This window comes from Homo sapiens, chromosome 16 (assembly GCF_000001405.40).
Source record: "Homo sapiens chromosome 16, GRCh38.p14 Primary Assembly".
Taxonomy (NCBI): Eukaryota; Metazoa; Chordata; class Mammalia; order Primates; family Hominidae; genus Homo; species Homo sapiens.
Genome location: NC_000016.10, coordinates 56,944,906 through 56,960,248, shown reverse-complemented (window position 1 = coordinate 56,960,248; position 15,343 = coordinate 56,944,906). Strand labels below are relative to the sequence as shown.

Genomic DNA, 15,343 nt, shown 5'->3' with positions numbered 1-15,343 from the left:
GTACAATTCAGGGGCATTTAGTATGTTCACAGTGTTATGCAGCCATGAATTTAATTCCAGAACATTCTCATCACCCCAAAATAGAGCCCCACATCCAATAAACAGTCATTCCCCATCCTGCCCTTTCCCAGCTCCTGGCAACCATAAATGTGCTTTCTGTCTCTATGGATTTGCCTACTCTGAACATTTCATGTAAATAGAGTCATACAGTGTGTGTGATCTTTCGTTCCTGGGTTCACTCTTTTCTTTCTTTCTTTCTTTCTTTCTTTCTTTCTTTCTTTCTTTCTTTCTTTCTTTCTTTCTTTCTTTCCTTCTTTTTCTTTCTTCCTTTCTTTCTCTTTCTTCTTTCTCTCTCCCTTCCCTCCCCTCCCCTCCCCTCCCCTCCCTTCCCTTCCCTTCCCTTTCTTTCTTCCTTCCTTCCTCCCTTTCTTTCTTTCGACAGAGTCTCGCTCTGTCGCCCAGGCTGAAGTGCAGTGGCACAATCTCGGCTCACTGCAACCTCCACCTCCCGGGTTCCAGCAACTCTCTTGCCTCAGTCTCCCGAGTATCCAGGATTACAGGTACCTACCACCACACCCAGCTAATGTTTGTATTTTTAGTAGAGGCGGGATTTTGCCATGTTGGCCAGGCTGGTCTCAACTCCTGACCTCAAGTGATCTGCCCGCCTCGGCCTCCCAGAATGCTAGGATTACAGGTGTGAGCCACCATGCCTGGCCTATGTCCCTTAGAGGAATGTCTTCAAGGTTTGTCTGTGTTGTAGGCTGTGTCCATACTCCATTCCCTTATACGCCTATACCGCACTGTGTTGGTCCCTTCACCTGTCGGTAGGCATCTGGGTTGTCTGCTATCTCATTCACTCTTCATAGCCACCCCCGGGATGCCTTGATTGCCCTGCTTTATAGGTCAAACAGTGAGGCAGAGAGAAGTTAAACTACAAGCTCCAGGTCACATAGGGACAGAAAGCCAGTATTTGAGCGCTTCGGGAATTTGGGCTCAGTGCTGGTCCCAGCTTCTAAGAATACCGGAGTCAGAGGGCAAGAGGCTTGGGGTCATGGAAGCTCACCCTCTCTCACAGGGGAGACACAGCTCCTGGGGAAGGGAATCCCTGGGACAGGGAGGGGCGGGATAACCTGCACCCTCTCCAGCCTCTGTAATCATAACCTGCAAAACCTTGTCATGGAGGAGAATGCAAACCCCATGTGAATTTTTAAGCAGACTTTGATTTTCAGAAGAATTTTAGATTTTCAGAGAAACTGAGCAAGTTTCCCATATACAACCCATACTGAGTTTCCATTATTATTATTATTGTTATTATTATCATTGAGACAGGGTGTCGCTCTGTTGCTCAGACTGCAGTGTAGTGGCGTGATCCTGGCTTACTGCAGCCTCAACCTCCCGGCTCAAGCAATCCTCCTGTCTCAGTCTTCTGAGTAGCTGGGGCTACAGGCATGTGCCACCACCACACCTGGCTAATTTCAAAAAATTTTTTGTAGAGATGGGGATCTCACTGTGTTACCCAGGCTGGTCTCGAACTCCTGAGCTCAAGAGATCCTTCCGCCTCAGCCTCCCAAAGTGCTGGAATTACAGGCATGAGCCACCGCCCCGGCCTCATTATGAACATCTTGCATTCATACGGTATATTTGTTACAATTAATGAATCAGTGTGGATACATTACTGAAATCCATGGTTATTCAGATGTCCTTAGTTTTTACCTAATATCTTTTTCCTCTTCCAGGATCCCATCAAGAATACATCACATTTGGCAAGGCATGGTGGCTCATGCCTGTAATCCCAGCACTTTGGGAGGCCAAGTTAGGTGGATTGCTTGAATCCAGGAGTTCGAGACCAGCCTGGGCAACATGGCGAAATACCGTCTCTAAAAAAATACAAAAATTAGCTGGGTGTGGTGGTGCACGCATATAGCCCCAGCTACTTGGGAGGCTGAGATGGATGGGAGGATCACTTGAGCCCCAGAGTTCGAGGCTGCAGTGAGCTGTGATTGTGCCACTGTACTGCAGCCTGGGTGACAAAGCGAGACCACATCTCAAAAAAAAAAATCACAATTAATTGTCACATCTCCTTGTAGCTGTGACAGTTTCTCTTGTTTCTGATAGTCTTGACAGGTTTGAGGAGCAGTGGTCACGTATACTGTAGGATGCCCTTCTGTTGGGATCTGTCTGATGTTTTTCTTTTCTCTTTTTCTTTTCTTTTCTTTTTTTTTTTTTTTTTTTGAGATGGAGTCTCACTCTGTCAACCTGGCTGGAGTGCAGTGGCGCGATCTCAGCTCACTGCAACCTCCGCCTCCCGGGTTCAAGCGGTTCTTCTGCCTCAGCCTCCCAAGTAGCTGGGATTACAGGCACCCGCCACCGTGCCTGGCTAGTTTGTGTATTTTTAGTAGAGACAGGATTTCACCATGTTGTCCAGGCTGGTCTCAAACTCCTGACCTGTGATCCACCCACCTTGGCCTCCCAAAGTGCTCGGATTACAAGCGTGAGCCACCACTCCTGGTCTGATGTTTTCCTTATACTGGCATTACGGGCTGTTGTGAAAAGGGTCGTGGAGGTAAAGTGCCATTTCATCCCATCATATCCAGGATGCCCACTATCAACATAATTCATGACAGCTGATGTGACCTCGATCACTTGGCGGAGGTCGTATTTGTCAGATTTCTCCACTGTGAAGTTAATTCTCCCCGCTCCCCCTTCCCGTACTGTACTCTTTGGAAGAAGGTCACTAAGGCAGCCTGGAGTTGTGTGTGCCCTCCTGTAGGGTGGAGAATCTACAGAATTCATTTGGGATTCTCCTGCACAGAAGATTTGTCTCTTCTTTCCCGTTTATTTTTATTTTTATTTATATATTTATCTTATTTATATATTTATTTATTTTGAGACAGGGCCTCACTCTGTTGCCCAGGCTGGAGTGCAGTGGTGAGATCACAGCTCACTGCAACCTCCGTCTCCCAGGCTCAAGCAATCCTCCCTCCCCAGCCTCCCAAGTAACTGGAACTATAGGCATGCCCCACCATGCCCAGCTAATTTTTGTGTTTTTGGTAGAGACAGGGTTTCATCACAGTGCCTAATCTGGTCTCAGACTCCTGGGCTCAAGTGATCTGCCCACCTTGGCCTCTCAAAGTGCTCTCCCATTTATTAATATGAATGTATTAAATCATCTATGTGAGTATAGACTCATAGACACTTATTTTATACTTTGGGCTATAATTTGATGCTTACTTTATTTATTTTGTTGCTCAAGTTGCTCCATCTTTGGCCACTGGGGGCTCTTTCGGTTGGCTCCTGCGTCCCTGTGTCATATCCCTATCAAAGTGGGTTTTCCCCCTTTTTGGGGCCCCATGTAAACGTATAAAGATAAAACACGAGCTTTTCAGTACACTTCCACCTTGCTGTGACAACCCAAACTGGGGCCAGGACTAGGGTAAGGCAAGTGCCTGACAAAATTTAAGGGGTGCCAGAAAAACTTAGTAGCCACCATTTAAAAATCAAAATTATGGACTCGGCATGGTGGCTCACTGTAATCCCAGCACTTTGGGAGACCGAGGTGGGTGGATCATTTGAGGCCAGGAATTTGAGACCAGTCTCCAACATGGTGAAACCCTGTCTCTACTAAAAATACAAAAATTGGCCAGGTGTGATGGCGGATACCTGTAATCCCAGCTACTCGGGAGGCTAAGGCAGGAGAATGACTTCAACCCGGGAAGTGGAGGTTGCAATGAGCCAAGATTGCGCCACTGAACTGTAGCCTGGACAGCAGTGTGAGACTCTGTCTCAAAAAGAAAAAACAATCAAAATTATGGACTCAAATGAATATTTGCACACCCGTATTCATAGCAGCATTTTCCATAGCAGCCAAAAGTGGAAGCAACACAGGCATCCATCAATGATGAGTGGATAAACAACATGTGATATATCCACACAAGGGAATATTATTCATCCTTTAAAAGGAAGGGCATTCTGACACACACTACGATGAGGATGAACCTTCAGGACATTATGCCAAGTAAAATGAACCAGTTACAAAGACAAATACTGTATGATTCCACTTATATGAGGTATCTAGAGTAGTCATATTTAAGAGCCAGGAAGTAGAATGGGCAGGGTGCGGTGGCTCAGACCTGTAATCTCAATGTTTTGGGAGGTTGAGGTGGGAGGATCGCTTGAGCCCAGGAATGTAAGTCTGGCTTGGACCATGCAGCAAGACCCCATCTTTCCAAAAAATAAGTGAATTAGCAGAGTGTGGTGGCGTATGCCTATAATCTCAGCTACTCAGGAGGCTGAAGTGGGAAGATCCCTTGAGCCCAGGAGTTTGAGGCTACAGTGAGCTGTGATTGCATCACTGCACTCCAGCATGGACAACAGAGGGACACTCTCTCTAATAATAATAATAATAATAATAATAATAGAATGGAGGTCACCAGAGGCTGGAGGAAGAGAGAACGGGGAGTGAGTTCATATTTAATGGAAATAGAGTTTCAGTTTTTCAAGGTGAAAAGAGTTCTGGAGATGGGTTGTATAATAATGTGAATGTATTAAACGCCACAAAACTGTACACTTCGAATGGCTAAAATGATCAATTTTATGTTATATATATATTTTATATAATAAAAAATCAAAATTAATGCAAAAGGTCTATAATGGACAAAGTATCAGAACCTTAAGTAAACACTGAATCAGTATTACTAATTTTCTCATTTGCTTCCATGTCCAACAAGGCCTGTTGTGGCCCTGTTGTTGAGTCGGTTCCACGGCAGAGCAGGGTGACAGCCCGCTGACCCCAAGTTCTTCCTCCATCCACTCAGTCATGCCAAAATCTCGCCTTCAGAGGATAAGCCCAGAGAGAGGAATCTGTGGCAGAGCTGAGCCCAGAACCCAGGTGGAAAATTCCCACCCTAGGTGGGCGTGGTGGCTCACACCTGTGATCCCAGCACTTTGGGAGGCTGAGGTGGGCAGATCACTTGAGGCCAGGAGTTCCAGACCAGCCTGGCGAACATGGCAAAACCCTGTCACTACTAAAAATACAAAAATTAGCTGGGCTTGGTGGTGTGTGCCTGTAATCCCAGCTACTAGGAAGGCTGAGGCAGGAGAATGGCTTGAACCTGGGAGGCAGAGGTTGTGGTGAGCCAAGATCACACCATTGCACTCCAGCATGGGTGACAGAGTGAGACTTGGTCTCAAAAAAAAAAAAAAGAAAAGAAAAATTCCCACCTTACCAATACAGGGATTCCATCCATCCAAGCTTGGCCATATGCATCACGTATTTAATTAATAGCAAGAACTAGCTAATCAGTTAAGAATTTCGAGATGTGGAGATTATTCTGTATGAATATGAACGGAAGAGGTAAGAAAGAATTAATTATTTATTTATTTTGAGATGGAGTCTCCCTCTGTTGCCCAGGCTGGAGTGCAATGGTGTGATCTTGGCTCACTGCAACCTCTGCCTCCCGGGTTCAAGTGATTCTCCTGCCTCAGCCACCTGAGTAGCTGGGATTACAGGTGCGCGTCACCATGTCCAGCTAATCTTTGTATTTTTAGTAGAGACGGGGTTTCGCCGTGTTGGCCAGGCTGGTCTCTATCTCCTGACCTCAAGTGATCTGCCCACCTCGTCCTCCCAAAGTGCTGGGATTACAGGTGTGAGCCACCACGCCTGGCAAAGAAAGAATTTTAGAAGTCCAGGCAAAGAAATCAGGGGAAACTTCCTGGAAGAGGTGGCCTTAGAGGGCAAAAGGGAGAATTGGTGAGTGGAAGCAGCCATAGGCCAGTTGGTGGAGCAAAGCTTTGAGAGCCAGTTGAGCTAGCAGGGCAGAACCTGGACGAAGCCTGCTTTCCAGACTCCAACTCAGTGGTGTGCTGGTAAAAGTTTAACAACCAGCTCTTGGGGGGCCAGACAGGAACCCCAATCTGTAGTCTTTGCCAATTTATACCACACATATTTACCTCCCACCATGGCCAACTTCAAGCTATGAATGTGATGCCACTGAATGCAGAATTGGTAAGAAATACACAGTAGCACACAATTCTACAGTATAGCCATTTCCACTATACGGATCCAATCAATATCAATAACCACAAAGCATCAATAATAGTATGCTGGACAGTCTCTGGGCCTACTTAGGCTCAAGAGGCTGCCCAGTAAAAATAAATAAATAATAATAATAGTGCACTGTAGCAAAGTAATTCACAAGTGATGAGTTTTGAGTGTTAACTTTGTTCACCTCAGCCTCCTAAGTAACTGGGACCACAGGGATGTGCCACCATGCCTGGCTAATTTTGTTTTTATTTTTTGTACAGACCAGGGTCTCCCTGTGTTCCCCAGGCTGATCTCCAACTTCTGGGCTCAAGCGATCTTCCAGCCTTGGTCTCCCAAAGTGCTGAGATTACAAGCGTGAGTCACGGCACCCAGCCTATTATTTTATTTTATTTTATTTTATTATTTTGAAAGACACAATCTCCCTCTGTTGCCCAGGCTGGAGTGCAATGGCGTGGTCTCAGCCCATTGCAACCTCTGCCTCCTGGGCTCAAGCAATTCTCATGCCTCAGCCTCACAAGTAGCTGGAGTTACAGATGTGAGCCACCACACCCGACTAATGTTTTTGTATTTTTAGTAGAGACAGGATTTTGCTATGTTGGCTAGGCTGGTCTTGAACTCCTGACCTCAAGTGATCCACCGCCTTGGCCTCCCAAAGTGCTGGGATTACAGACATGAGCCATCACGCCCAGCCTATAATTTTGTTTTTAATAATAGCTGTGTTCAATAATTGGCTCACAAAATTCCTGAAAATTTAACAATTGACTCCCATGAGCAGACCAGGCTTCTCCAGCCCTCCTTGAACTGCATGAGACTGCCTCTTGGAACTTAAGAAGCTCCAAACCTTACATCCCACCAAGGTTTGCGCTGGGACAATGATCTGAGCTCTGTCCTCAAGCATGTGTTTCTCCAGGTCATTGACCTACAGCAGGAATGCCCGGCCCCTTCCTCAGCCCTTGGTTGCAAACAGGAGGCCACAGGCTCCTCACGTCCTTCCAGTCAAGGCGAAAGGTCTCTCCTTGCAGCCTAGAGTGAAGCCTTCCTGCCCCAGCTGGCTGACCCCTCATTCTGCCTCTCTCTTGAACCTAGAGGCGTCTTGATCCCCGGGCCCCACCTCTGCAGGACAGAGCCAGGATTTCTGGGAGGGGTCATTACAACCATCCCCCATCTCTTAGCCTGGGACTTTCTGCAAAAGAGTTAGGGGAGTAGGCCACAGAGCAATGGCCTGCCTTAGGTCACAGCTGCTTTTAATCCCAGCTCCCATCAGGCCTGGGTAGAAGCCCTGCCACCTCAAATCACCAGGCACAAAGTCCCCGCACTGGGGCAAATCATACTGTTGGGCCTCTCTTTTGCCCCAGCCTCTCCACCCTAAGTTTATTTTCATCTTGACAGCACCCCATTCCTCCCACCTAATCCCCACATTCATCTTCCCTTCTTCACGATCAACACTCACTGTCTTAATTTTTTGTATTTTCAGTAGAGATGGGGTTTCACCATCTTGGCCAGGCTGGTCTCGAACTTCAGACTTCGTGATCCCCCCGCCTCGGCCTCCCAAAGTGTTGGGATTACAGGCGTGAGCCACCGCACCTGGCCGCAGAGAGCCTTATGAGGACGTGTGCATGGATATGTGGGCACAGATATGCACGTGTGCACAGATACACACACACCACATACACACAAGCACCCAGCTACACCTGCTTGTGAGACACACACAGGTACACCCGTATGCCCACAGCACCTACCCCAAATACACACACTCAAACATCTTGGTATGCACCTCATTTTTTAAAAGACATTTTCATGGACTATACATTCACAAAGCTTTTAGCATTCAGTGTTTCCTGCAACCTTAATCCTTCAGGAACCACGGTCATGATGCTGTCTTTTGTGCATCTGCCCTAGACTGTTATTTACTTAACCTTTTAAACAGACTGACTTTTTTACTTATGTGGATTTTAAAGGGGAGCTTTATATCCCCACTTTAAATGGAAAATACATTTATCTAATACATTGAAAAATAGCATGCTATTATAATCAAGTGTTTTTGGCTTTGCACGGTGGCTCATGCTTGTAATCCCAGCTACTTTGGTAGGCCAAGGCAGATGGATCCCTTGACGTCAGGAGTTCAAGACCAGTCTGGTCAACATGGTAAAACCCTGTCTCTACTAAAAATACAAAAATTAGCTAGATGTTGTGGTGGGTGCCTGTAGTCCCAGCTACTCAGAAGGCTGAGGCAGGAGAATTACTTGAACCTGGGAGCCAGGGACTACAGTGGGCCAAGATTGCACCACTGCACTCCAGCCTGGGCAACAGACGGAGACTCCATCTCAAAAAAAAAAAAAAAAAAAAGGAAAAGAAAGAAAAAGAAAAAGAAAAAAAAAGTGTTCTTCCACCTAGAACGGTTTTGCACACCCGTCCCTGGGTCCCGTGTGCCACTCTGGGGAAGTGCTCCATTATTTCACTCCAGCCTTGTGATCCCTGTGCGGTGGGCAGAGCAGGTTTTATATGTCACAGGGTCTGTTATGATGAGGAAGTGAGAATTCAGTGGGGTGCTGTGACTTCCTCTAGGCCCCACGGCTGCAACTCACACCAGCTCTCCTGCCCCACATCTGGTGCCCTTCCCTGGGGACAACCCCTCTGGCCTCATCCCTACAAATCACCTCCCCTTTCAGTCTAATGCCAGCAAGAAGGTTGTCATCAGAAGAGACCATCCACCTTCCCTGCGGCGTATCCTCCAGTAGCACCTCAAGGTGGCGCCTCCTAGCCAGCCAGGGCCACCGCTCACCCTCCCAGGACTCTGTGCAGCCCTCCCTGGCCCCGCATCCTCCACCCTGCCCTCTGTCATCAGCCATCCAGTGCTTATTCCCCAACCCACTTCTTGGAACCTCCCCTCTACCTTCATGCTCTGACCTGGGGTCTGCTGCCTTCCCTGCAGGCCTCAGTGGGGCTGTTCTTCCTCCCACATGCCTCCTCGCTCTTCCTTCATAGAACTCCAGCTCCCTGAAGTACACAACATCAGACTCTGCTGCTCCCGCCCCATGGTGCTGCGGTGGCTCCCATCCCATCTCGACCACATCCCATTTCTTACTGCAGGTCTCTGGCCCTACGTGCTGTGGCTCCACTTCTGGGCCTGATCTCCACAGCTCCTCTGGGCTCAGCTTCAGACACCTGCCACCGTGCAGGACACACACATACAGGACACACGTACCCGCTCCTGCCCCAGGGCCTTTGTCCTTGCAGTTCTTTCTGCTTGGAGGCTCTTCCTCCAATCTTTGCTTGGTTTGCTCCAGCTCATCATTCAGGTGTCACCTCTTCAGAGGCCCTCCCCGACCACTGTCTAACCACTCCTCCTCCTGGTGTCGAAACCACTGCATTCTAAAATGTCCCCTGCCACGTTATCCCCTCTCCTTTCCATGCTTTTTGTCCTAGCCCTTGTCATTTTATGTCCGCTTGTTTCTTTGTAGTCTGTGTTGACCTGCCAGGGTGTAGAGCCCACGAGGACAGGGATCACCTGCAGCAAGTGAGTCCCCAGGAGCTAATGGGTGAGTGCTGACAATGTGGTACATATACCTACTCATGTGCTCTCCAGCCAGCTGTGTGCACACAGATTCGCAGCCTATCCATGTATAGGCACCTACGCAATCAGGCACACAGATTCTCATGTACACAATGGGCTTCAGAGGGTCCAACTCTGCAGCTGGGTCAGTGGTGCTGTCCCACCCCACCCTCCGGGTCCCTACACCATTTAAATCTCATCATTTCCACCCTGGAGACATCCTTCCAGATGAAGCCTGCCTCTTCCTGCCAGCCTGCCTGGCCTGGTCCCTGGAGTGGGAAAGCTTTAGGAGGCACAGAGCAAAGCTTCAGGCCCTCCCCAGGGCCACCCCCACCTGCCTTTGCTCTCAGGCAGAGCCAAGGGGAGGGGACCCTGCCTGAACAAATGACACAGCCTGCCTGGAAGCAATTCCCACCCCAACTGGCCAATACACTACACAGGGATAAGGAACTGGACCCCACAACCTCCAGAGCCGGCCCCTGTGTCAGTCAGGGTTCCTCCAGAGAAACAGATCCAATAGCGTATTCATTAACTAACTTCTAGAAATTGTCCTACACAGTTGTAGGGGCTGGCTAGACGCGTCTGAAGCTGTAGGGTAGGATGGTGGGCTGGAAACTCAGGCGGAAGCTGAGGCTGCAGGCCATAGACTTAATTGCTCTGTCCTTGGGGAACCCTGAGTTTTGCAATTAAGGTCTTTCAGATAATTAGATGAGGCCCATGCAGGTTAATCACATCTGCAAAATACCTTCATAGTAACACCTAGATTCACGGGGTTTTTGTTGTTTTTTCTTTTATGTTTTTTTGCGATACAGTCTCACTCTGTTGCCCAGGCTGGAGTGCAGTGGCATGATCTCCACTCACTGCAGCATCCACCTCCCAGGTTCAAGCGATTCTCCTGCCTCAGCCTCCCGAGTAGCTGAGACTACAGGCACACACCACCACGCCAGGCTAATTTTTGTATTTTTGGTAGAGATGGGGTTTCACCATGTTTGCCAGGCTGGTCTCAAACTCCTGACCTCAGGTGATCCGCCTGCCTCAGCCTCCCAAATTGCTGGGATTACAGGCGTGAGCCACCAAAGCCCGGCCTAGATTCGTGTTTACATAACTGGGCCTAGCCAAGTTCACACATAAAACTAATCATTACAGTACTCTCTTTGTCAACCTGGCACCTGTATGCATCTCCTTAAACCACACTTAATCTCCAGATAAAGACAGTAACAAAGCCATACTTCCACCTAACATGACTCAACCATCCTGCATACAACAGAAAACATGCCAATCCTTTCCCCAGAGAGGCTGCAACGTCCTTGGGTGATGTTTACTCTTCTGCTTGACATCCTGTCACTTCAATGCTGTGATGATCCATCTTATGTTAGGTGATAAAGGAATGAGAGAGGAAAGAAACAAAAGATTTTTTTTTTTTTTGAGACGGAGTCTTGCTCTGTCACCCAGGCTGGAGTGCAGTGATGGGGTCTCAGCTCACTGCAACCTCCACCTTCCGGGTTCAAGCAATTCTCCTGCCTCAGCCTCTTGAGTAGCTGGGATTACAGGTGCCTGACACCGTGACCGGCTAATTTTTGTATTTTTAGTAGATATGGGATTTCACTCTGTTGGCCAGGCTGGTCTTGAACTCCTGACCTCGTGATCCACCTGCTTCAGCCTCCCGAAGTGCTGGGATTACAGGAGTGAGCCACCATGCCTGGCCTAAAGATTTGTTTTATATCTGTAATATGTATTAGATATCATAGCATACAAGTTTGTATATGAATATACAAATATATTAATAACAAAATAAGGAACGGTGTCGGCCACCTACCTTTTGGTCCATGTTTCAGCCAGCCAACCAACCAACGAACCAAACAACCAACCAACCAAGTTAGAGCCCTTTCTAACCCCTCATGCTAAAGCACTGAGTTAAGAATCTCTGCTTAGTGGGCCCATATCATTACGTTCAGCCAGATCCAACACTATGGTCCTTCCGTGATCTCACAACCTTAAAATCTACTCCCATACATGTCTCTTGGATTTGTCTGTATAAATTGGAAAAATCATGCAGTTCTTTTGGTGTGTAACACACCTCTTCATGGGTCACAGTGTGTACCTTTCTCTCTGGGGCCTGGTGGGACTTGAGTCTAGTTACAGGTCCAGCAAAGAGGGGAAGGGCATAGGATCCAAGAAGAATCAGAAGTGCCCCGCAAGACAGCTACCTCAGGGAAGGCCACAGGGTTTCTCAAAGGGCTAAGAAATTGTGATGAGGTCAGGCACAGTGGCTTACGCCTGTAATCCCAGCACTTTGGGAGGCCGAGGTGGGTGAATCTCTTGAGGTCAGGAGTTCGAGACCAACCTGGCTATTGGGGGTGAAACCCTGTCTCTACTAAAAATACAAAAAAATTAGCTGGGTGTGGTGGTGCGCGCCTGTAGTCCCAGCTACTCGGGAGGCTGAGGCAGGAGAATTGCTTGAACCCAGGAGGCGGAGGTTGCAGTGAGCTGAGATTGCACCACTGTACTCCAGCCTGGGCAGCAGCACAAGACTCTGACTCAAAAAAATAAGAAAGAAAAAGAAAAAGAAAGTGTGATGATTACAAGGGTAGGGAAATAACACCTGCACACTCGCTGCCAATCTGTGTCCACACAGCTGGACCCAGGGAGGGGTAGATGGGCTGTTTCTACTGGCAGGGAACATGACAGAATTTAGGGATTCAATGTCCCCAGCTTTACTGGAATCTTCCCTTATGTTCCCATTCCGATTTTCAAGTTGTCCTCACTTTAACTGAAGACACCCTGCAAGGCTGGAATTTGGGAATTGGATTTGCGACATAATTCAGCCACATGCAAGATGAGACTTTGGGTTTCCTTTTCACAAATCTCAGCCCTGGCCAGGCAGGGTGGCTCACAACTGTAATCCCAGCACTTTGGGAGGGTGAGGCAGGCAGATCACTTGAGCTCAGAAATCTCAACCCTGCAGCTACAGGAGATAGGGGTCTCTTCTAAGGAAGTCACAGCAGTTTTTATGCAGAGCTTGAGCTGGGAATTTGAAACCTTGAGCTCCTCCTTTTTTTTTTTTCTCCACTTTGTCCAGTGTAGTTGGGAGCAACCAGCCAATTTAATACATCCTAGTTTGACTACAATGTTCTAAGGGGTGGGGGGTGTAAAACATAGCCAAGGACAGATGCAGGGGACAATATGGGTGCTAGCTCATGCCTGCACTCTCCCCTGCGTCATGTGGGTGGTGTCTTCTCCCAGTTATGACAGGGGTAACGGAAGGGATGCACTGCAGGATTTCTGGACCTGACTGGGTGACTTCCACAAGCTCCTCTGAATTCACTGTCAGTCTCCAATCATGGAGGACCCTGAGGCTGGGAGTGCTGTGCTTCCAGTGCGTTGCATGGTCAAAAGGGGAGCCCCGGCTTCCCCTTTTCTCCAGTCTCAATCTCCCTACCCTCTTCATACTTATGTGGAATTCTCTTCAGTTCCTCCCACACCATGTTCCCTCCGCCTTTGCACAGGCAGAGCTCTCTTCCTCTCTTCGCCTGTCACTCCTGCTCACCCTGTAGCCCCTGTGTCGGTGGCACACTTCCATTGCTGCACAGGAGTACTGGGATGGGGCTGTGGATGTTATTTCCCTGTCCTTGAACTCATCACACCTGTCTGCCATCACTGCTGTACTTGCCACCCACAGCCGACTACAAGACCCAAGAGGGGAGGGGCCACGCCCAACCTATGCCTCATTCTGTCTCCTGGCCCCCACGCCATATTTGGCACATGAGGACTGCTAAAAAAAATTGTAGAGGAGGTCCACTCCTGAGAGGGAGTATTTCTAGTCTCAGAACTGCCAGTTAGGGGTTTGAGACCTTGGACAGGTCTCTCATCTCTGCAAGCCTCTACAAAATGGGAGAACACCTAGATTGCAGGACTAGCTGATAAGACAAAGAGACTATCCTACACTCATCCAAGTACTTTGAAAAGGACCAAGTAATTATTACATAAAACCTGGGATTCTCCAGGGGACCTGGAGCCTCCTCCTTTGTCAGTCAGACTGTAGACAGGTATGGCTTCTCATCTCCCTCCTGGCTATGTAAAGAATATTTATCTCCTAAGACTATACTTTCAGGGATCATTTCTGTGGTTGGTTACCAGAGAAGTTTCTCTGAACATGTAGAGCACTGGTAAAAAAAAATAAATAAGAAATCATTTATTTATTTTTTGAGACAGAATCTCACTCTGACGCCCAGGCTGGAGTGCAGTGGTGTGGTCTTGGCTCACTGCAACCTCCCCCTCCCGGGTTCAAGCAATTCTCCTCCCTCAGCCTCCCGAGTAGCTGGGATTACAGGTGCCCACGACGACGCCCAGCTAATTTTTGTATTTTTAGTAGAGAAAGGATTTCGCCACGTTGGCCAGGCTGGTCTCAAACTCTTGACCTCAAGTGATCCGCCTGCCTCGGCCTCCCAAAGTGCTGGTATTACAGGCATGAGCCACCGTGCCTGGCCAAAAATAAATTTAAAAAATTTTATCTCCATTGGTTAGTGTGTAAAATGTCACATCTAACAAAGTATGTTTGCTATGTAGAATGCCAAAGGTGGTGTTGATTTAGTAACTCATTACTAAATTTCCCAAAATGAGGCACATGGATAGTCCTGGGCCATTCTCAGGAAGGGAAAGCCCCAGCTTCAGGCATATTAAAGGACCCAGAAGGCCTGCAGTGAAGAAATCTATGAACTTGGATCAGCCTGAGGGTTCCAAAATGTACTTGATCATGAAGCTCATTTTTTAGGGGTGGGGGGGGGGGGTGGGGGGGGCGGGGGGGTAGAGTGTTTCTTCTACAGAACTAGGATTCAAGAAATTGCACCTTAAAAACACAGACTTAGAAAGCTGCTATAGCCAGAGCTGAAATCTGGGGCTTTTTCAGTTATTTACTTGCTACTTAATAATAAAGGCCCAAACCAATAATTTTCTAAGTATTCAGAGTGGTGTGTGGCCCATGATTGTGGCACATTGAGTAGCTGTGGTGGAAGCACTGAATTTCTGCCATGTCCCACCTGTCAGCCGTCTTAGGCCTTAATTGCTAAGAGTCCTGCTTGCCCCAGTGGGGATGGGGTGCCAATCTGAACCCTGGTTAGCTCTGTTCAGGGGCACCTTCCTGGCACTATTTATTTTGGGCCTGTAGAACCCAGAGTTTAAGCCACAAACTGACATTTCAGGGGGTAAAATCCCCACTCCTTCAGAAACAGATGGTACCACAGCTGCCTGGGGCCTTGGGCCCCTTGCCAAATGGTGATGGCCTTGCCTCTGAAAAGCAACAGGCTTTTCCACCCAAGACTTTGGGAATTCTTAATGTTTGTTTTCCTAAACCAGCAGGACCTCATTCCCAAGCATGTGCAGAATCCAGCTGTTTGGCAGGAAGAGCACGTCCTGTGGCTGAGCTTTTACTCCTGCTGCCACCCTTCTTACCTTGAGCTGGAGAGAAGGTGAGTCATTTCATACCTCATCATTTTTCCCCCATCATTTCATACCTACTCTAGTTACAAGTCATTTCTTCCTTGAAGCAAACTATCTCTTCACAATTTGTGAATATTCATTGCCTTCTGATAGTTCTGTTCTAGAGGCACACAGTTATTTGAAACTTTTTGCTATTTAACTCCTTACAAAAGGGTTTCAGTTGGCTTTGAAAGCATAACCACACATAAGACATCTTTGTACCTACCCAGCGTCTTGCTATGAGTTGTTTAGTGAATGTTTATCTTAGGTAA

At 47.9% G+C, this 15,343-nt stretch overlaps 1 pseudogene, besides 5 other annotated features; it reads left to right on the top strand.

Annotated features, from left to right (window-relative positions):
• Window positions 8,696–9,196: an enhancer, noted in NCBI's record as "H3K27ac hESC enhancer chr16:56984965-56985465 (GRCh37/hg19 assembly coordinates)". NCBI's record gives its function as "activates a minimal SCP1, AML or CMV promoter by ChIP-STARR-seq in naive H9 embryonic stem cells {active_cell/tissue: H9 hESC(naive)}" and the evidence as "EXISTENCE:reporter gene assay evidence [ECO:0000049][PMID:30033119]".
• Window positions 8,698–8,992: a silencer, noted in NCBI's record as "tiled region #9411; HepG2 Repressive DNase unmatched - State 4:PromP, and K562 Repressive DNase unmatched - State 12:CtcfO". NCBI's record gives its function as "represses a minimal TATA promoter and a strong SV40 promoter by Sharpr-MPRA in HepG2 and K562 cells {active_cell/tissue: HepG2 | K562}" and the evidence as "EXISTENCE:reporter gene assay evidence [ECO:0000049][PMID:27701403]".
• Window positions 9,363–9,412: an enhancer, noted in NCBI's record as "active region_10865". NCBI's record gives its function as "activates an Ori minimal core promoter by ATAC-STARR-seq in GM12878 lymphoblastoid cells {active_cell/tissue: GM12878}" and the evidence as "EXISTENCE:reporter gene assay evidence [ECO:0000049][PMID:35858748]".
• LOC124903811 (uncharacterized) lies at window positions 13,692–13,803 on the top strand (annotated as a pseudogene).
• Window positions 14,906–14,985: an enhancer, noted in NCBI's record as "active region_10864". NCBI's record gives its function as "activates an Ori minimal core promoter by ATAC-STARR-seq in GM12878 lymphoblastoid cells {active_cell/tissue: GM12878}" and the evidence as "EXISTENCE:reporter gene assay evidence [ECO:0000049][PMID:35858748]".
• Window positions 14,996–15,045: an enhancer, noted in NCBI's record as "active region_10863". NCBI's record gives its function as "activates an Ori minimal core promoter by ATAC-STARR-seq in GM12878 lymphoblastoid cells {active_cell/tissue: GM12878}" and the evidence as "EXISTENCE:reporter gene assay evidence [ECO:0000049][PMID:35858748]".